At 42.2% G+C, this 21,250-nt stretch overlaps 1 long non-coding RNA gene across 3 annotated transcripts in view; it reads left to right on the top strand.

Moving 5' to 3' along the window:
* The window catches only part of LOC105375920 (uncharacterized), a 54,525-nt gene that overhangs the window by 31,075 nt on the left and 2,200 nt on the right, over nucleotides 1–21,250 (top strand). For 2 of the 3 annotated variants that reach the window (XR_929095.3, XR_929092.3), the window contains exon 3: nucleotides 17,966–18,086. This is a non-coding gene — a long non-coding RNA (uncharacterized LOC105375920). Of the gene's footprint in view, nucleotides 1–17,965; nucleotides 18,087–18,332; nucleotides 19,143–21,250 lie in introns of those variants that run through there. The other variant, XR_929093.3, reaches the window with a different exon arrangement.

The raw sequence follows: 21,250 nt of genomic DNA, 5'->3' as shown, positions 1-21,250 counted from the left end.
CCAATTCCACTGGTTCTAGCTTGCACTTAGCGGACATTCAATCAACAGTTCATGACTGACTACCCAGACAAATTAATGGAAAATTGTATCATCATTTGAGGATCTTTTTAATTTAATTTTTACTCTAACACTTCCATCAGGCTTGTTAAGTATTTTAGTTCTGTTTTTTTTTTTTCAATTATAAAAATATAAGTGGTATAGTAAAAAGGCACGAGTTCAAAGAGTGTTTTGATGCAGGGTGTGGTGGCTCATGCCTGTAATCCCAGAACTTTGGGAGGCCAAGACAGAAGGATTGCTTAAGGCCAGGAGTTTGAAACCAGCCTAGATAACATAGCAAAACTCCTGCTCTATGAAAAATTTTTTAAAAAATTAGCTGGGCATGGTGGCATGCATCTGTAGTCCTAGCTACTCAGCAGGCTGAGGTGGGAGGATCCCTTGAGCCCAGGAGTTCTAGGTTATAGTGAGCTAGGATCGTCCCACAGCACTCCAGCTTAGGCAACAGAGCAAGACTTAAAAGAAAAAAAAGTGGCTGGGCGTGGTGGCTCACGCCTGTCATCCCAGCACTTTGAGAGGCTGAGGCCGGCGGATCACCAGGTCAAGAGATCCAGACCATCCTGGCCAACATGGTGAAATCCTGTCTCTACTAAAAATACAAAAATTAGCTGGGCATGGTGGCACGCACCTGTAGTGCCAGCTACTTGGGAGGCTGAGGCAGGAGAATCGCTTGAACCTGGGAGGCGGAGGTTGCTGTGAGCCGAGATTGCGCCACTGCAGTCTGCAGTCCGGCCTGGGCGACAGAGCGAGACTCCGTCTCAAAAAAAAAAAAAAAAAAAAAAAGAGAGAGTGTTTTGATACTGCTGTCATTTAACACTTTACTTAATATAATACATACCTCGCCAAAATAAAAGTTATGGCAGTAGCTGATAAAAATTGTAACATTTATTGAGTTCTTACTGTATGCCAGGCAACAAGCTGTATTCTTTGCTTGAAAATTTAAAATTCAAGCCTGGCCAACATGGTGAAACCCTGTCTCAGTTAAAAATACAAAAAAACTAGCCAGGTGTGGTGGCACATGCCTGTAATCCCAGCTACTTGGGAGGCTGAGGTGTGAGAATCGTTTGAACCCAGGAGGCGGAGGTTGCAGTGAACTAAGATCACACCACTGCACTCTAGCCTGGGCGACGGGGTGAGACTGCCTCAAAAAGAAAAGAAATTTTAAAATTCATACCTACAACAACTTTCTAAGTAGGTAGTATTATTTTCCTTGTTTTATAGACGACAAAACTATATAGGTTATATTGCCTGTGAAGCTATATAAAATATATTCATTTACATGGAAGGACATTAATAAGGAAAATAAAGACATTAGGACGAGCGTAGTGGCTCATGCCTGTAATCCTAGTACTTTTGGCAGCTGAAGCGAGAGGACTGCTTGAGCTCAGGAGTTCCAGACAAGCCTGGGCAACATGGCAAAACCCTGTCTCTACAAAATACAAAAATTAGCTGGGTGTGGTGGTGCATGCATGTAGTCCCAGCTACTCAGAAGGCTGAGGTAGGAGAATTGCTTGAGCTCAGAGGCGGAGGTTGCAGTTAGCCGGGATCATGCCACTGCACTTCAGCCTGGGCGACAGAGTGAGACCTGATTTAAAAAAAAAAAAAAAAAATGCCGGGCGCAGTGGCTCACGCCTGTAATCCCAGCACTTTGGGAGGCCGAGGTGGGTGGATCACGAGGTCAGGAGATCGAGACCATCCTGGCTAGCACGGTGAAACCCCTTCTCTACTAAAAATACAAAAAATTAGCCGGGAGCGGTGGCGGGCGCCTGTAGTCCCAGCTACTCGGGAGGCTGAGGCGGGAGAATGCCGTGAACCCGGGAGGCGGAGCTTGCAGTGAGCGGAGATCGCGCCACTGCACTCCAGCCTGGGTGACAGAGCGAGACTCCGTCTCAAAAAAAAAAAAAAAAAAAAAGTGTCACACTGAAGATTTTTCCTCTGTTATGGAGGAGGCAAATCCCCCGCACCCCACATCAGCTCTCAGTGGATTCCTCCTGAATGGCCAATGCATTGTTTAATCAGCTCAGTGGACTAGATCAATATTTAGATTTTAAAGCTCTCATTCCTGACCAAATGTCCACAAACAGAATAGCAAAAATATTTTATAAAGTTTCTCCTATATGATTTGTATTGATTAGCAAATTTCCATCACTTAATCATTTCTGACAGTAAAAGAAATCTTCAGGAAATGTCTAACAGACATTTTATTTTCAGCAGTGAAGCATGTAGGAAAAATAACATTTTGTTCATTACTCATCGTGTCGATGGTGCGTAAGAGAAGAGTGCTGCACAAACCAGTGTGGGCACTACGCAGTTGCTGGTACAGACACAAATAAAGATAAATCTTCTCAAAGGAAATTAAGTGAAGCCAGTGGGCCATTAGCTAATACTCTTGGAACACTTTATCCCAGTCATATAGAGAAAGGATTGAAAGATGGACATTTAAGATCTGGCAAGATACGCAAGGTAATCATCCAAAGTAAAGCTGTTTGTTACATCACTTCTCTATTTTTCTGTAGATTATATATTACATCTATTGAAATATATGAAGAGCTAAGCAAAAATTGTACCAGACATAAATTCCTTAATTGAATTATGAGTATAGAATTGAAGTGTGGGATGTATATAAACAGGAACATCATGTTGGAGTTAAAAGCAGGACATTAATTATTTTTCAAGCCATAAACATGAAGGAGCTCAAGAAGGAAAGCCACAGAGAGAGACTGAAGCTTCGAATCAACCAGATGAACAAATAATGGCCTCAGTATTTGAACTGCACAACAGATGGAGTACTTTCTCTTTTTTACACATGGCCTTCCCTGACTGCTTCCTTCTCTGAGATATGGTATTTTTCCAGGGCTGAATCTTCCTAACATGGCACTATCAGCAAAAACAGGGCAGCCCACTGACATTGACAGGGACCTGCAGGGTTTCTAAGGGCTTACTTTTTCTCCCTGACATAAGGTTCTGTTGTTTGTTGTTTCCCCGAGTGACATGGTGACATGTGCTTTTTTTTTTTTTTTTTTTTTTTTGAGTGGGAGTCTCGCTCTGTCACCCAGGCTGGAGTGTGTTGGCACAATCTCAGCTCACCGCAACCTCCACCTCCCAGGTTCAAGCGATTCTCCTGCCTCAACCTCCCAAGTAGCTGGGATTACAGGCGCCCATCACCACACCCGGCTAATTTTTGTATTTTTAGTAGAAACGGGATTTCCTCATGTTGGCCAGGCTGATCTCGACCTCCTGGCCTCAAGTGATCTACCCACCTCGGCCTCCCAAAGTGCTGAGATTACAGGTGTGAGCCACCATGCCCAGTGACACGTGATTTTAGAGTTCCAGGCCAAAGGGCATATTTTCATCCATGTCTGCATGTATTTCATCCACTTTCAACTGCAAGTGCGGTTTGAACTTTGTTCACATGTCCCTCTCTACTCCAGTGCTGGTGAAATGTTTTCACCAATTTCTAGTGAGAAAAATTAGAGGTATTTGCTTGAGCAGAGTTTGTCATTGTTTCTTACATTCCTGTAAGTGGGCTTAAACTCCACGCTTTAAATATTTAAAGCAAGAAATCAATCTCCATCAGTATTTTCACTGAAGTAATAATAATAAATAAGATATAGTAACCGAAGTAAGTTATTAACCCCTTGGCAAAAGACACATAAAACAGTTTCAAATTAATAAATGTGTTAACTGTCCTTCTCAGTTGGGGCAGCAGTCCCCTCTGGTCTTTATTCCAACACATGTAGTTTTGCATTTTCATACTGGTTTGTCTTAGAAATTCCCTCAGGGATAAAGAATTGGGTCTTTGTTTAATTATCTGTAACAGCTGGTGTAATGCCAAGTAGGTACTAAATTTGTCTTGAAGGTGATCAGTCTGAGAATAGGTAATAAGTATGGCTGCTGGAGCTTGAGACAATGTACAAAATAAATCTATGTCTGATGCACGTTTATCAAATGTGGTCACCACCATCAGTGTAATAACCATGCCCAAAACAAAACACATCTGTTCATGCAAATTGGCAGTGTGTGCTTCTGGGCCCAAGGCTCATGTAGTAAAGGATGGAGGCTGCCATCTGGGCTCAAGACCCAGAACTTAGGTTCTAATTTACAAAGCGTGCAACTTGAGTGTTCATGCACCATGTGCAAGCCTGAATTCCCTCATATGTTAAATAGGCACGTGTGCTAGGCAGAATGATGACCTGCACCCCCTTCCCAAAGCCATGGACATCTTTGGGAAGTGGAGGCAGGTCATCATTCTGTCTAGCACACGTGCCTATTTAACATACAGGATTCCCAAAGCCTGTACATATGTTACTTTGCATGGCAAGATATTTTGCAGTTTTAATTAAGGACTTTGCAGACATGATTAAGAATTAAGGATTTTAAGATGGGAGCTTATCCTGGATTATCTGAGAGGGTTTAGTGTAATCACAACGGTTCTTTTTTTTTTTTTTTTTTTTTTTTTGAGATGGAGTCTCGCTCTGTCACCCAGGCTGGAGTGCAGTGGTGCGATCTCGGCTCACTGCAACCTCCGCCTCTCGGGTTCACGCCATTCTCCTGCCTCAGCCTCCTGAGTAGCTGGGACTACAGGCCCCCACCACCACGCCCGGCTAATTTTTTGTATTTTTAGTAGAGACGGGGTTTCACCATGTTGGCCGGGATGGTCTCGATCTCCTGACCTCGTGATCCACCCGCCTTGGCCTCCCAAAGTGCTGGGATTACAGGCGTGAGCCACCGCGCCCGGCCACAGGTGTTCTTATAATACAGCAAACAGGGAGGCAGGAGACTGACAGGAAATGCAATGACGGAAGCTCAGGTCAGAGTGATGCAGGGCCCACAAGCCAAGGGAGGTGAGTATTCTCTAGAAGCTAGATCAGGCAAGGAAACAGTCTCTCCTACAGCCTCCAGGAAGGCCATGCCATACCCTGCAGATCCATTTTAGACTTCTGATCTCCAGACCTTCAACAGAATACATTTGCGGTGCTTTCAGTCACTAACTGTGTGGTGATTTGTTACAGCAGCAATGGGGAATGAATACAGGTCATTAATACTTCCTTGCAGGGTTATGTACAGATTAAATGAAAACAGCCATTTAAGACTTCCTACTGGGTTGGGCGTAGTGGCTCATGCTGTTATCCTAGCACTCTGGGAGGCCAAGGCGAGTGGATCACCTGAGGTCAGGAGTTCGAGACCAGCCTGGCAAACATGGTGAAACCCTGTCTCTACTAAAAATACAAAAAATAGCTGGGTGTGGTGGCACATGCCTGTAATCCTAGCAACTTGGGAGGCTGAGGCAGGAGAATCGCTTGAACCTGGGAGGTGGAGGTTGCAGTGAACTGAGATTGGGCCACTGTACCCCAGCCTGGATGACAGAGCAAGACTCTGTCTCAAAAAAAAAAAAAAAAAAAAAAAAAAGACTTCATACTGAGCTGGTGCGTGCCTGTAATCCCAGCTATTCAGCAGGCTGGGGCAGGAGGATTGCTTGAGCCCAGGTGTTCAAGACCACTGTTGGTAATATAGTCCCTGTCTCATGAAAAACAACAACAAAACAAAACACAGTGCCTAACACACAGAAAGTGTGGAATAAATGCCATTATCAGTTAATGAAGCTTTTGGCTCTAGTGACATAAAACATAACTGCAGATTTTCGGTCTCATCTCTAATTTATATGTTGTAGTCTCAAATAGCAGAAAAGCAACTGTTTCTCTTGACTGCTTTATGCTGAGCTGTGTCGAAAACAAAATGAGGGCAGGCGTGATGGCTCACGCCTGTAATCCCAGCTCTTTGGGAGGCCAAGGCAGGTGGATCACCTGAGGTCAGGAGTTTGAGACCAGCCTGGCCAACATGGTGAAACCCTATCTCTACTAAAAATACAAAAATTAGCCAGGAGTGGTGGTAGGAGCCTGTAATCCCAGTTACTCGGGAGGCTGAGACAGGACAGGAGAATCGTTTCAACCCAGGAGGCGGAGGTTGCAGTGAGCCGAGATTGCACCACTGCACTCCAGCCCCGGGCAACAAAGAGTGAAACTCCATCTCAAAAAAGAAAAAAAAATAAAAGAGGGACAGGGTTACATAAAACATCACCCATAACCCCACAGAGCTCTTCCAAAGCTCCACACAAAAATGTAAGGAAAAAAGGTAATGTATCTAAGAGCAGAGGGAGGACCTGGAATTCATTGAGCTACACACTTTACACAATGGAATGTCTGCAACAAGCCTATGAGGTAGGATTCCCTAAACTCAGAGAGCTTAAGTAACCTGCCCACCATCACACAGCTAATAAAATGTAAAGTCCACATTCAAATTCCTGTCTGCCTGAATTAAAAGCTCATGATTTTTCTGGAATTCCTTTAGACTTTATAATAGAAAATGAAGCATAACTTCTATCTTGAAACACCTGTTTCTTTTTTTTAAGACATATTAATATATCTTTAAAAAAATGTTTTTTACAGAGTCAGGGTCTTGCTCTGTTGCTCAGTCTGGAGTGTGGTGGCTTGATCGTAGCTCACTGCACCCTCAAACTCCTGGTCTCAAGCAACCTTCCCACCTCAGTCTCCCAAGCAGCTGGGGCCATGGGCCCATGCCACTGCACCAGCTAATTTTAAAAAAAAAAGTTATTTTCTTTGCAGAGACAGGGTCTCACTATGTTGCCCAGGCTGATCTCAAACTGCTGGGGCTCAAGCAATCCTCCTGCCTCAGCCTCCCAAAGCATTCTTAATGTCCCTTTACTATCATTTTGTGCAGAATCGTGTCCCAAGTTCATCACACAGTGCTATGGTGATTGATACGCTATTTGCAGGGCAAATAAGAGTAGTAGCGGTAGTAGTAATAATAATTCATTTCTTATTATAAAGCATTTTTACAGTTTTAAAATAATTTTTAAAACATATATCTTGATCTTTTCAGGAGTCTTATGACTCCTGACAGGCAAGTCTCACTATTGTTTACTGTTGATAAGAACTCTGAAGTTTGGCCCAGCACTGTGGCTCACGCCTATAATCCCAGCACTTTGGGAGGCTGAGATGGGAGGCTCACACAAACCCAGGAATTCGAGACCAGCCAGGACAACATGATGAGACCCCATCTCCTTAAAAAATAAAAAAATTAGCCAGCCATGGTGGCACGTACTCCTGGTCCCAGCTACTCAGGAGAATTAGGCGGTAGGATCACTTTTGAGCCCAGGAGGTCAAGACTGCTGTGAACCGTGTTCATGCCACTGCACTCTAATGTGGGTGACAGAGCAAAACCCTGTCTGAAGAAACAAACAAACAAACAAGCAAAAAAAAATCCTGAGGTTCACAGACTGCTTTGCCCAAGGCTCACATCCAAATGACATGCCAGAAACACATACTCTGCTTCAAAATTTTATACCACATCCATTACACTGGTCTTGGGGAGTGGTTACTCCTTATGGTATGGAAACTGATTTGCAAACTATTTCCAGCAGAGTGCCTCAGCTGTGGTCAGTTGGCAAGTATGCATTTAGGCAAACGAACCCACTTGCAGTGGGCTGAGCCCTGGAGTCAAAGCTGTATCTTCTTATGCTGAGAAGGCTTCTTCCCCAGAGGGAACTAGAGATTGCTTCCAAGGGGTTGAGAGTTAAGTTTTTCTGAAAGTCATTATGGGCTTGGTTTTGTTTTTCATTTTTTCCCATACCTCCCTCTTCACAGAAAAGTCATAGTGTTTTATAGCCTGCTTAAAACTCTGTGTTCTCTGTAATAGCTGTAAAGTCTTCACTTAATTATAGTAGGCTCTTCTATTATTTTTTAGTTGCAATGGTGTAAAAGAAAATAAGCCCTGTTTCCCTTTGAAGTTATTTTGTGCAAACATAGTAGTTTCTCTTCTCTCTCCAAGTTTGGTAGCTTGGATTCATTTGTTTCCAGGAATTTTTCTTTATACAATATAAATGTATGCCCACAGCCTTGAGCTAATTACACTGTAGCCAATTCCCTTCCTTTGTCATTATTTACCAGTCCCCTATCTTTTTTTCTAGAACATATATATAATTAGTTAAATAAGCACATTTAGTACTTTGCTTCTCATGTAAGTTCACGTTTTTCTAAGGTGTGGATAAATTGTTTAGAGAACTAATTTTGCGTTCACTTGTTTATGATTACAGGTGTTATTTTTGTGCCCCACCAATGCTTCTTGTATGTTTAAATCTTCGTTGTTGTCGTTGTTGTTGTTTTTAACTATTTGAAATTCACAACTCACTGAATTTTGTGTCTGGTTTTATTTTGAAAAAAAAGTCATATTTCCAATTTTTTCTTTCGCACCTATTTGTATGCTGAGCATTCATTAATGCAAACCATCTGATTTCTGAGCATTTTTATGGATAGAAATTTTGATTATATTGGTGATTTAAAATTGTAGAACCTGAAACAAATGATTTTTTTACTACACATACACACATTTTAGCTACTCAAAGTGATAATATACCATTAGTGAAGCGTGTTAAAAGTATGCTACTTACTTTATTCATTTCAGACCGAGTTTTTTTTCACATTTTACCATCTCTGAAATTGATATGTGTCTTAAAATCAATGTGGCAAGAACACATGATTTAATTAACTGCTTCTTCTTTCTTGGCAGTATGACCTAAAAGAATGCCAAATTTTCAATTTGGTAGCATCTCAGATTTGATTAGATACAATATGTACCAAGACTACTATTGTACATGTTTTACAAAGTCTCTCATTTAATCCTCTAAAAAATCCCATGTCATAGACACAATTATTCTTCACATTTCACAGAAGAAGAAAATAGATGATGGAAGTTGCTGCCATCATGTATCAGCTACACCATCCTCTTGTAGCATGTTGATGACTATTAGCTCTCATGGGGGTGGAGGAAGCCTTGATTTGTAGCATTTGTTAATTTCCATGGTGTAAATACTCTCACTGTGGCCAATCTCAAGATACCAAGATGAAGTCACTGAACATAGCATTGGAAAGATATGCATGCAGTTCACTGATGTTAAGCAGATGTGAGATGACTGCAGCATATCATATATGTTACGTGTTTTTTCTGGGTTATCTCTCACAAATCCTTGTCTTTAGTGCCACTCATATGCCAGAAATGGCAATATCCAACTTTCTATTGGTCACCTCCACTGGGATGCCCTACTTGTTCCTCCAATTCAATGGATAAATAGTACCTTTCTTACTACCGACATTCTGCCTAAGAATCATAATTGAATGCAGGAAAAGGAAATCTAGAATTGTAATAATATGATGCCTAAGAGCTGTGAAGGGTGTGAGATTTTATTCTACTTGCAAGCTAACAAATTAGACTGCCTATTTTACGGATATTGTCACAACATTCCAAAATCAAAGGACTTTATTACTCATAGAAAAAGCAGTAGCCCTAGTATTGACTTTTTTCAGTAGCCTGAATCTCAATTCCTACCAGGTGATGCAAAGAGGGCCTTCATGTAAGATGGTGGCATTACAGGAGAGGAAACCAGAGTTCAAGGCACCTGAATCTTTTTTTTTTTTAATTTTTGAAATGGGGTCTCGCTCTGTTGCCCATGCTGGAGTGCAGTGGTGCAATCATGGCTCACTGCAGCCTCCACCACCTGAACTCAAGTGATCTTCCCACCTCAGCCTCCTGAGTAGCTGGGATCACAGGTACACACCACTATGTCCAGCTCATTTTTAAATTATTTGTAGGGACGAGGTTTTGCTCTGTTGCCCAGACTGGTCTCAAACTTCTAGCCTCAAGTGATCCTCCTGCCTCGGCCTCCCAAAGTGCTCAGATTATAGGCAGTGCCACTGTACCTGGCCCTGGCTGAATTCGCGAATGAACCATTCTTTTTTTTTTTTTTTGAGACAGTCTTGCTCTGTCACCCAGGCTGGAGTGCAGTGGCACGATCTTGGCTCACTGCAACCTCTACCACCTGGACTCAAGTGATCTTCCCACCTCAGCCTCCTGAATAGCTGAGATTACAGGGCATGCACCACCATGCACGGCTAATTTTTGTATTTTTAGTACAGATGGAGTTTTGCCATGTTGGCCAGGCTGGTCTTGAACTCCTGGCCTCAAGCGATCTGCCTGCCTTGGCCTCCCAGAAGTGCTGGGATTACAGGCATGAGCCACCGTGCCCAGACTGAATAACCATTCTTGATTGAACTCTTTCCATTTGAGCAACTAAGCTCATTGGGCTCTTCTCACCTTGTTAGTCTCTGAGTTGATGTTGACCTGGGCACATATGACCCCAGGGTTACCTGAGCTATATCAAATTATACAAATGTTGATCAGAAACTCAGATGCTAAATCCTGGACAGAAAAAGCCAATTGAACTTATCCAGCAAGGTACTGAGGATTCTTCTTTCACAATAAACCGGAAGGTCAGAAAATAGCCCCAAAAGTTGGGTGAAGTCTCCTAATAGCCATACCTGAAATACTTCCCATAAGAATTGATTGGATGGCCTGGTGCAGTGGCTCACACCTGTAATCCCAGCACTTCGAGAGGGAGGCTGATGTAGGTGGATTGCTTGAGCCCAGGAGTTTGAGACCAGCCTGGGCAATATAGTGAGACCTCGTCACTACAAAAAATACAAAAATTAGTCAGGTATGGTGGTGCATGCCTGTAGTCCCAGCTACTCAGGAGGCTAAGGTTGAAGGTTTGCTTGAGCCCGGGAGGCAGAGGCTGAAGTGAGCCTAGATCATGCCTCTGCACTCCAGCCTGGGTCACAGAGGGAGACCTCATCTCCAAAAAAAAAAAATTAAAATAAAATAAAAATTAAAAAAACTAACTGGACCATAACTCAAACGTGGAGAATATGTGTATTTGGGATAATGTAAAAAATATTTTTCAATAACATTTGAGAGCTAAGGAATGTGCAAATGTAACCGTGGCATGAGCAATCTAGACATACCCTTGGGATTTTAACTCCATGGGAACCTTCAAAACCCATTGCTTACTGCAGCCTCATCCTTGACCTGGTCACAGAAGTTTATCGCACTTATTATAGGGCAATAGCTGTCACTGCAAAACTTGTCAATACTTCTCCTGAACTAGTTCTAGGCTCCCTATTTGACCTCATGTTTCCTCCTGCAATACAGACATTACTACTGACTGAGAACATACAGCAATTTCATCCAGACAATGAAGTGTTCTCACTAAAGAAATAAGTGTGTGAAATAATGCATATGTTAAATATCTTACATATACCAAAACTTCACGTTGTACATCATAAATATATTTAAGTTTTGCTTGTCAATTTAAAAATAATAATAATAAATAAAATAAAACTCAGCAGACAGCTTTCGCACTTGGTAGAGCTGGTCAATTAGGTACCAGAAGTACCTAATTGACCAACTAGGTTTGAGCATGCTTTGCAAACAAAAGATCTCGGATGGAATCCCCATCAAAAATGAAGAACAAATTAAGGAACTTTAGGTGCAGCCCTACTATGTGGAAAGGGAGCTACTATAAAGGTTGAGGCCCATGTAGAAAGAGAGACTTTGTAAGCTAAAGAAATGCTCCAGCAGCATTTCCTAATAAGAAGCCTTAATCAAGGTTATGATTCCAAGTAAACCCTCAAAAGATAAATCTCAAAGAGGCCATTACAAAATATCAATTTTTAGTTTCTTGTTTTAAAGAGGAAGAATAGAAAAAAATCTGGTTACACCCTTCACACACATAATCTCTAATCCTTCCAACCAGGCTGGTGGCCTCAGATGATTTCAAATGAACATTAGCTACATTTCTCCATGAAACTACTCCTTATGGTACAGAAAAATTGGTTACTATCTCAAATCAACATTGATGGGGAAAATTTTAAAAGATGGCTGAAGTTATTTGCAGGTCATGTGTCACCTGTCAACAACATAATTTTAGAAAAATTGTAAGGGTGGGGCATAGCCAGGAACCAAAGCTTCAAGGGCCCTTTGAGTGTCTTCCTGCATCTATTTCATTCTCTCCATGGAATTTGAATATATTTTAGGTATTTTGAATCTATTTTCAGGATGGGTTGAAGCATTTCTATTCTAAAGAGTTACAGCCCTTATTGTTGCTAAGGAAAATAAAAGCCCACTTGAGTTTAACCTGAGGTAAACCAAATTTTACATCAAGTGACTGAGAAATGCTTTACAGGAAGCATTGTATAAGAACCTCGTAAGGCATTACCTCTTACTCAAAAACTATACTCCTCCTACCACCCACAATCGTGTTCTCTTGTTCTGAGTTGAGCAATTGGGATTCCTGGTTTTGAAGCATTTTACAGGTAATGTTAATTGCTCTTGTTTTTGTCATAGTGGTCATCATGCTGATCTACTGTATTCTCGTCAGAGTCTTAAATGTATCCATTCGGTCATTTTCTTGCTGGACGATCACAATGATGATACAACAAGTCAAGATCTCTCAATTAGCTATGGAGACAACTGGACAATCTCCAAGAAGTAAAAACCTGGATTTCCAACATTTTGTGAGCTGGGGAACTTCTCAAAAGTGAGAGACCAAAATGGGACTGAGAGACTGAATATAGAAATAGATAGTGATCCGGCTGGGCACAGTGGCTCATGCCTGTAATCCCAACAGTTTGGGAGGCCAAGGTGGGTGCATCACTTAAGGCCAGGAGTTTGAGACCAGCCTGGCAACATGGTGAAACCCCGTCTCTACTACAAATATAAAAAATTAGCCAGGCATGGTGGAGCGTGTCTGTAATCCAGCTACTCAGGAGGCTGAGGCATGAGAATCACTTGAACCAGGGAGGTGGAGGTTGCAGTGAGCTAAGAATGCACCGCTGCACTCCAGGCTGGGCAACAGAGTGAGACTCTGTCTAAAAAATTAAAAAAAGAAATAGATAATGATTAGACATCTATGATGAAGAACTCTGGCCCACAACCTGTTCAGGAAGCCAAATCACAACCTCTGCAGCAATCAGCACAGAACTGTCAGGACTGGGTCAATGACTGCCAGCTTCTGTTTTTTTGTCCTCACTTCTAATTCACGACCAATCAGAGAAAGTCAAATAGACTGACCATATCACTCATGTGATTAAAACCCTTCACCTGTGACTACACATGACTTTCAAGGTTTAAATCATACTTCTTAGCACATCTTGTAAGTTTCTACTATATTCATCGGCATTTTTTTTTCTTTTTTTTTGAGACGGTCTTGCTCTGTTACTCAAGCTGGAGTTCAGTGGCACAATCACAGCTCACTACAGCCTCAACCTCCTGGGCTCAAGTGATCCTTCCACACCAGCCTCCCAAGTAGGGATCACAGGCACGTACCACCGCACTAATTTTTTAATTTTTTGTAGGGGTGGGGTCTCCCTATGTTTCCCGGGCTGGTCTCAAATTCCTGGGCTCAAGTGATCCTCCCACCTCAGTCTCCCAAACTGTTGGTATTACAGGTGTGAGCCACCATGCTCAGCCATCAGTAGTCTTTTGATTACAAGTGATAGACACTTAACTCAAGGTAGCTTAAGTAAAAAAGGGAATTACCGGTTCACGTAACTGGGAAGAACAGAAGTGAACTATCATTCAGGCATAAGTGGATCTAGATGAAGCTAATAGGATTTGGCCATGGTTCAAGGTGGGGAGAAGCAGCTAATGTGATCTTCTGGGTGAGACCCTTGGGCCAGTTCAATGTAGTGTTGTTATGGTTTCCACTGATGATGTATCATTGGGGTTGATGTTTCACATGGTTGTACTGAGAACGGTCATAAAGTTCAGAGGGTCTAAGGTTTAAATTTTACAGTTGCATGCTGGTTCAAGGGCAGGATTGATGTTTAGAGTCAACTGATATTTTCAGGTCTTAGGAAAGTTGTTAGGAAAGGTTGGGGAGTCTGGATGTGGGGGAAGCGGAGGGAGGAGTCTATGGAGGGGCAGAAGGAAAGAGATCAGAAGGATAAGGCAGAAGAGGGAGGGCTGGATGTAGGGAAGCAGCTGAGAACAAGCAGTGGGGAGGCATACTAGGGAAATGAGTCTAGATTGTTATTGCTTAAGTTTGTCAAATTCCTCATTAGCTTTGGCCATTTAGTTTTTCAGTGAACCAATTATTGAATCCAAATTTCATTCAGAGGCCTCCACATACCAATAAAAAATTACTGCCCATTGGACATGAGAAAGTTTATTTCTCTTCTTTTCTAAGGTTCCTCTCAAATGAACAATACTGCTGAAGTCAAATGTTTCCCCAGAGTGGCCATTGAAGGACCTTGGTGAAGTCATGCATTTAGAAAGAAGTCATAAGAATTAGGGTTATAATGAGAGTTCCAGTAAGAAGTTTTTCCTGGAAGAGGAGAAGACCTAGACTTACACAACCCCTGGAGAGGGGGCAACAATTACTTAAAAGTAATGGTTTTGCACTTTGTGTCTCAGGCCCCAACCTGACAGTGGGCCACCTCTGAATGCAGACCCCACAATCTGTGCCCCCTAGTATGCAGAAAAGCAGAGAGAAAAACAGCATTCTGTCTGGATCAAAGCCAAGCTCCTGGGAGAAAAAATCATGACAAAGACAGAAGTGACTTATTCAGTTTTATTGGTAATCCACAACAAAATTTGTCTGAATAGCTACCATTTTGGTGAGAACCACAAATGCCCCAGTCTGTGAGGATGATTAAAAAAAATTGGCTAATAGGACCTATGTCTGGGCTATACCTTTTGATTCTCCTTTTATGTCAAATAATCCTTTTAGACAGCATAATACAAATAGAAAGCACAAACAAGAGCAAAAAGGATGAAAATAAATGGAACTGATTGGGGGCCAGGTGCGGTGGCTCACGCCTGTAATCCCAGCACTTTGGGAGGCCGAGGCAGGTGGATCACGAAGTCAGGAGTTCAAGACCAGCCTGGCCAACATGGTGAAACCCCCGTCTCTACTAAAAATACAAAAATTAGCCAGTCATGGTGGTGCACGCCTGTAATCCCAGCAACTCAGGAGGCTGAGGCAGGAGAATCGCTTGAACACAGGAGGCGGAGATTGCAGTGAGCTGAGATCATGCCACTGCACTCCAGCCTGGGTGATAGAGCAAGACTCCATCTCGAAAAAAAAGAAAAAAAAAAAAAAAAAAAGAAATGGAACTGATTCCATGAAGGATGCCAAACAAATGGGGATGAGTAAATTACCTGGGTACCAAACAGAATAAATGGCCAAAGAACTCAATGTAAAAGAGCAGAATGTAAGCCTGGTGCTGATTTACCATGTCATCATGGACTCAGAGGCCACAAGCAGCAAGACACAAGGGGCCTTCCTGAAGCCACACCTGACTGAAGGCTGGCGTCTGCAGCAGCGGGAAGTGCAGCCTGTGTCTTGTGAACCTCCAGGAAAAATGTAGAAATAAACAAAGATGCCCAAATGAGAACAATCAGAGGCTGTTTATTCAGAGCCTGCTCTATCCAGGTTGTCAGCCACCATCATTTGTGTTTGGCAGAGACTCAAAGGCAGCCAGGAGAAGGGGAAGATTTATAATGAAAAAACAAAACAAAAAAACCACCAAAGGCTTCCAGTATGATTTGATTAGGGGTTCTTGGCATGAGGAAGCCGGGAGCAGGCCAATTAGCAGTGAGCATCTCCTATGATTAGTTTGAGGAGCATATTTGGCTTCCTCTGGTTGGTCCTGAGTTGGAAATAGGCAAAAAATAGGAAACCTGACAGTTATGGGCAAAGTCCTAACTATTCTGGGTTGATTGCTGCATAGGCTATGGTTTGGCTTTCTGATCTGGTTGACACAGGTTGTGGGACAGGGTTCTATGGTCATATACAGTCTGGCCATTGTCTGGAATTCCTGCTTCAGCCTCCCAAAATGCTGGAATTATAGGTGTAAGCCATCGCACCCAGCCACCAATGTCCATTTGTATATTCAGTTTCTTTTCCTTTTTCTTTTTTTGAGACAGAATCTTGCTCTGTCGCCCAGGCTAGAGTGCAGTGGTGCCATCTCAGCTCACTGCAACCTCTGCCTCCTGGGTTCAAGTGATTCTCCTGCCTCAGCCTCCCGAGTAGCTAGGATTACAGGCATCCACCACCATGCCCAGCTAATTTTTGTATTTTTAGTAGAGATGGGGTTTCACCGTGTTGGCCAGGCTAGTCTCGAACTCCTCACTTCAAGTGATCCACCCACCTCGGCCTCCCAAAGTGCTAGGATTACAGGCGTGAGCCACTGTGCACAGCCTCAGTTTCTTAATAGTAATCTGACGCCCCTTAAACTCCACTGGGCCAGGCGTTGTGGCTCATGCCTGTAATCCCAGCACTTTGGGAGGCTGAGGAGGGAGGTCAGGAGTTCAAGGCCTAGGTGACATAGCAGGGCCTTGTCTCTACAGAAAATTAAAAAATTAGCCAGATATGGTGGCACATGCCTGTAGTTCTAGCTACTTGGGAGGTGGAGGCAGGAGGATCACTCAAATCTGGGAGTTCAAGGCTACAGTGAGCTATGATCACGCCACTGCACTCCAGCCTGGGTGACAGAGTGGATCCCTCTCTCAAAATAAATAAATTAAATTAAAATTTAAAACCTCATTGTCTACACAGAAGTCCACTCCACCTACTGAGCAAATGTCCCTTCCCGGGCTGCCTGAAACATGGCCAAAGTCAGTTCAAAATAGTCTGGCTGTTTCCTATACCCCAAAGTCAGTTCAAAATAGTCTGGCTGTTTCCTATACCACAAAGTAATTTTGAGGATTCAACTTTGGTTGTCTCTTCATCAATAACCATAAGCCCTGGGCACTTACTGATCCTCTTTGGACTCAACTCCTATTCCAAGAAAATGGACATAACAATAAAGTTATTTCCTTGAAGGCAAAGGACCAAACCAGATGTTCACTTACAGAAGTTTCTAGCCCCAATTCACATGACTATTCCATAATTTTTTGATTCTAGGTCTGTCCTTTGGGATGGGACCAGGCTGCTGGGTTAAATAGGAAGTGTTCAGATGTGGTTGTTTCTTTCTCCTGACTTAAGCTGTGACAATGCATTAATTCACCCTCAGAGCCATTTTGTGGTGTAGTGAGAAGAGCTCTAAACTTGAAGGGAGATCTCTGGTGAGTTACAGTTCTGACATTTAAGAGGTATTTGATTTTCAGTAGGTTTCCTTATATTCTTTGTGTCGCAGTGTCCTCATTTGCAAGATGTCATTCTGTCGCCCCAAGGTTGTGAAGAGAGTCAGAATGTGAGCAGGTATCCTCACTTAGATCTTTGGCTTCATTAAAATTGCAATATTGAATATAATGAAGTGTGAATTGGAGAAAATAATTCAACTTTTTTCCAGTGCAGAATTCAAAACCTTAAAGAAAATGTAGAGAACCTGAGGAAATATTTTTCAGGCAGTTCATCCATAGGCCAGCAAGTGGGATTTCCTAAGTCCCCTGACTAATGGGGAGACCTCCGCTGGTTTATTGGTAGAGACTGGAGGGAGAGTATTTCTTTCCCATATCAGCAGAAGTAGCTCTCTGGTAGGTCATTTCACATCTGCATCTAGTCATTTACTTTATAAACCTCCTCCTTCTTTGGCGGTTTCCCTCGAGGGGAAGCAAGACAGAACATAATTGAGGGAGTCTCTTTAATGATGCATCATTTTTGTTTTAATGTTTTCATAAAGAAAAAGCACTTATACTATTGTGCATCTTGGGCTTTAGGAATAAGCCCATGAAAGGACTTCAGTATTTTTATTTTCCTTTTTTAGGGCTGGAGAAAAAGAGCTGGGCTTAAGCTACACCATGAGCAAAGCTTCCTTTGGAGCTACTTTGAAAAGACATTGGTGACAGTACCATAGTATATCATTACAGGGTCATTTGGAGTACATTTTTGGCTCTCTGAGGAGGCTCTGGGGTCAATGTCCTAACACGTGGGGACTGGAACCTTTTTCTCCTTATTGTTAAACTCCAATTTCACTGGAAGGTAGGTTTAGTCTTTAACTTCCTGGTTGACACTCCTTAGTTCTATTCTGATTCGTATGGATGATTTATGATACAGGTCGAAAAGCCCAGGAATGTTCTAGAATATATGATTGGCGAGGACCCTCACTGGTGCCATCCACATCTTCTCTTCAGGACTGGGAACGTTGGCAGCTGATGATCCTCTGGGAAGTTCCTTGGTGAGAACTGCCATCAATCTTGAAAAGCCACCTTGCCCAAGATCATTTCCTGAGGGCAGCCCACTTCCTAGGGTGGATCAGCATGGGGCTATAAAGGCAGGGCCATTTGCTTCAATTTGGGACAACTCTGAAGAGACACTGTGGCTCCAGAGCTTCTGGAGGAATGGGATGAGGCCTCTGTTGTGACTGCATCACACACAGTCCATTCTTCCTCCATTGAATCCTTCTGGCTTCTCTTCCCAACAGGTCGGATCCCAGGGTGCTCACCAATCCACCCCCGGCACTCAAATCTCCATCTCACAAGCTATGTGACAGGGACCCTGACTACAACAATGGACAAAACATTTTGGCCAGGCGTGGTGGCTCATGCCTGTAAACCTAGCACTTTGGGAGGCTGAGGCAGACAGATCACTTGAGGTGACTGCACTCCAGCCTGGCGTGATCTTTTTTTAAATTTTGACTCTATCTCAAAATTAAAAAAAATTTTTTTTTTGCCTGGGGGAACCATATTACTCTATCTTTCTCATGCCCCTACTGAGAATCAAACTGCCCCTCGTTTTTATTTTTATTTTAATTTTTTAAGACAAGGTCTCCATCTGTCACCCAGGCTGGAGTGCAGTGGTACAATCAGGGTTCACTGCAGCCTCAATCTCCTGGGCTCAAGTGATCCACCCTCCTCAGCCTCCCAAGCAGCTGGCATCACAGGTGTGCACCACTGTGCCTGGCCCAAACTTCTCTTAAATTCATTTTCCTTATGGAACAACAACAGCAACAACAACAACAAAAACTTTTGAGAGAAAGTTAGGAGTTACATCCCACCAAGAGAGCTGCCTTCAGAAAATATCAATTGTTAGGCAATTTCACAGTATTCAGTGTCTTCTTCAAACTTAAAAAAAATTATACAAATTATTTTTAAAATATAGAGATGGGGTCTATGTTACCCAGGCTGGTCACATCTTCTTTAAACTTGTTTGACATTTTTTCTGACCCTCTCAAACAGTTAACTGTTATTTATAATAATTAATTGGAAGCGAATAAAGGGCAAGTATTGGATAACTCTTTTTCGTTGTGTTTGTAACATATACACAAGATAAAATTTACCACTGTAATCATTTAAAGTGTATAGCCCAGTGGCATTCAGTACATTCACAGAACTCCAGAACTTTTTCATCATCCCAACTGAAACTCTGTACCTGTTTCTTTTCTTTCTTTCTTTTTTGTGTGTGTGTTTTTTTTTTTTTTTTTTTTTTTTTTTTTTTTTTTTTGAGACAGGTTCTTATACTCTGTTGCCCAGGCTGGAGTGCAGTGGGGCAATCATGGTTCACGGCAGCCTTGACCTCCCGGGGCTCAAGCAATCCTCTCGCCTCAACCCCACAAGTACCTGGGACTGCAGGCATGCGCCACCACACCCAACTACTTTTTGTATTTTTTGTAGACATAGGGTTTCACCATGTTGCCCAGATTGGTCTCGGACTCCTGGGTTCAAGCAATCTACTCGCCTCGGCCTCCCAAAGTGTTGGGATTATGGGCATGAGCCACCATGCTCAGCCCGTACCTATTAAACAATGTAGATTACTGTTAATATGATAAGCTCAGTGTTAAAAAAATATCAAGAACAAACTAAAGAGGATAATAAAAATAATCTGGGCCTATCATCAAGAAGTAACTATTATTAACATTTGTCAATGTCTTGCCAGATATCTTTCTGTGCATAAGATCGAATATGCAAATCTATTTTTTCCAAAAATGTGATCACAATCTGCTTTGCTTTCTCATCACGAAGAATGTTTTGTCCATCTTCCTACGCACCATAGATTTTCAGAGCTGAAAGGAAAATTGGAAATAGTGTCAGTAAGGGTCCTTATATTTCACTGGAAATGTGTGGGGCTTGAGAGCTCTCTTCAAAGAACAAACACAGAGATTTCATGGCTACTTCAAGGATTCAGGGAAATAGCAAATAACTTCTCCCTAAAAAAAAGTTTGTGCTACCTAGTATATTCATGCAACCTAATTTGTTTTTTTAGCTTATTGTCTCACTAATTTATCAGTCTTTTTATTTTTACTTTCCAGTTTTTAGTTTTTTATAGTTAAACATGTACATATTTTAAAGAGGCAAACAAGGATTTTTGCAAAAAAGCAAAAAACAAAACAGAAAAACCCAGCAGTCCACCCTCTTACCCTTTGCATTTTCCTCCTTGAAGGCAACCACTTTCAAATCAAAATCATTTAGGTTTTCTGTTTGTTTGTTTTTGAAAGAGTCTAGGCTCTGTCGCCCAGGCTGGAGTGCAGTGGCGCGATCTCGGCTCACTGCAACCTCTGCCTCCCTGGTTCAAGCCATTCTCCTGCCTCAGCCTCCAGAGTAGATGGGATTACAGGCTCCCACCACCACACCTGGCTAATTTTTGTATTTTTAATAGAGATTGGATTTCATTATGTTGTTCAGGCTGGTCTTGAATTCCTGACCTCAAGTGATCTGTCCTCCTTGGCCTCCCAAAGTGCTGGGATTACAGGCATGAGCCACCACACCTGGCCTAGTTTTTTTTTTTTTTTTTTTTAAATAACTTGCATATATTGATAATTCCAGTTTTCGGCATTATCCACCAGTTTTCCACTATGAATGATGAGGATTCATCCTTTCTATTCACCCCTCAGTATTACTCATTCCTAACTTTCTTACCTGCTCCCATTCTGTCTTTTCAATCTAAGAAGAAAATAAGGTAGAAATCACTTTTCTTCAGTAAATTAAGCCTAATCCTCCATTGTCTTCTAGTTTTGTTGTCCATGACTCCAAACCCATTGTTATTCCTTTTACTTTGAATGTGACCATTTTTTTTCCATCTCTAGAACTTGTGGGGTCTTTATCTCCAGTGTTCTGAACTTTATAAATTTGTGCCGTGTTCTCAGTGAGCCCTTTCAATCTGGAAATCCTTCAGTCTGGGGAAATTCCCTGAATTATTTCACTGATTCCTTCTTTTTTTCTGTTTCTTCCATGTCTTTCTCTTGGCCTCTTTTTTGGATGTTAGACCTCTGGGATCAGTCTTCTGATTTTCTTATATGTTCCCCTTTATTTTTCATACCTTTGTTTTTTGGTCTTCTCTCTAGAAAATTTACTTTATACTCCAAACCAACCATGGAGTGGCTTAAAGTAGCACAGAGGTATTAAC

Source organism: Homo sapiens, chromosome 8 (genome assembly GCF_000001405.40).
Source record: "Homo sapiens chromosome 8, GRCh38.p14 Primary Assembly".
In the NCBI taxonomy this organism is placed as follows: Eukaryota; Metazoa; Chordata; class Mammalia; order Primates; family Hominidae; genus Homo; species Homo sapiens.
The sequence above is the reverse complement of the archived record's forward strand: the minus strand, read 5'-3'. Positions and strand labels throughout refer to the sequence as shown.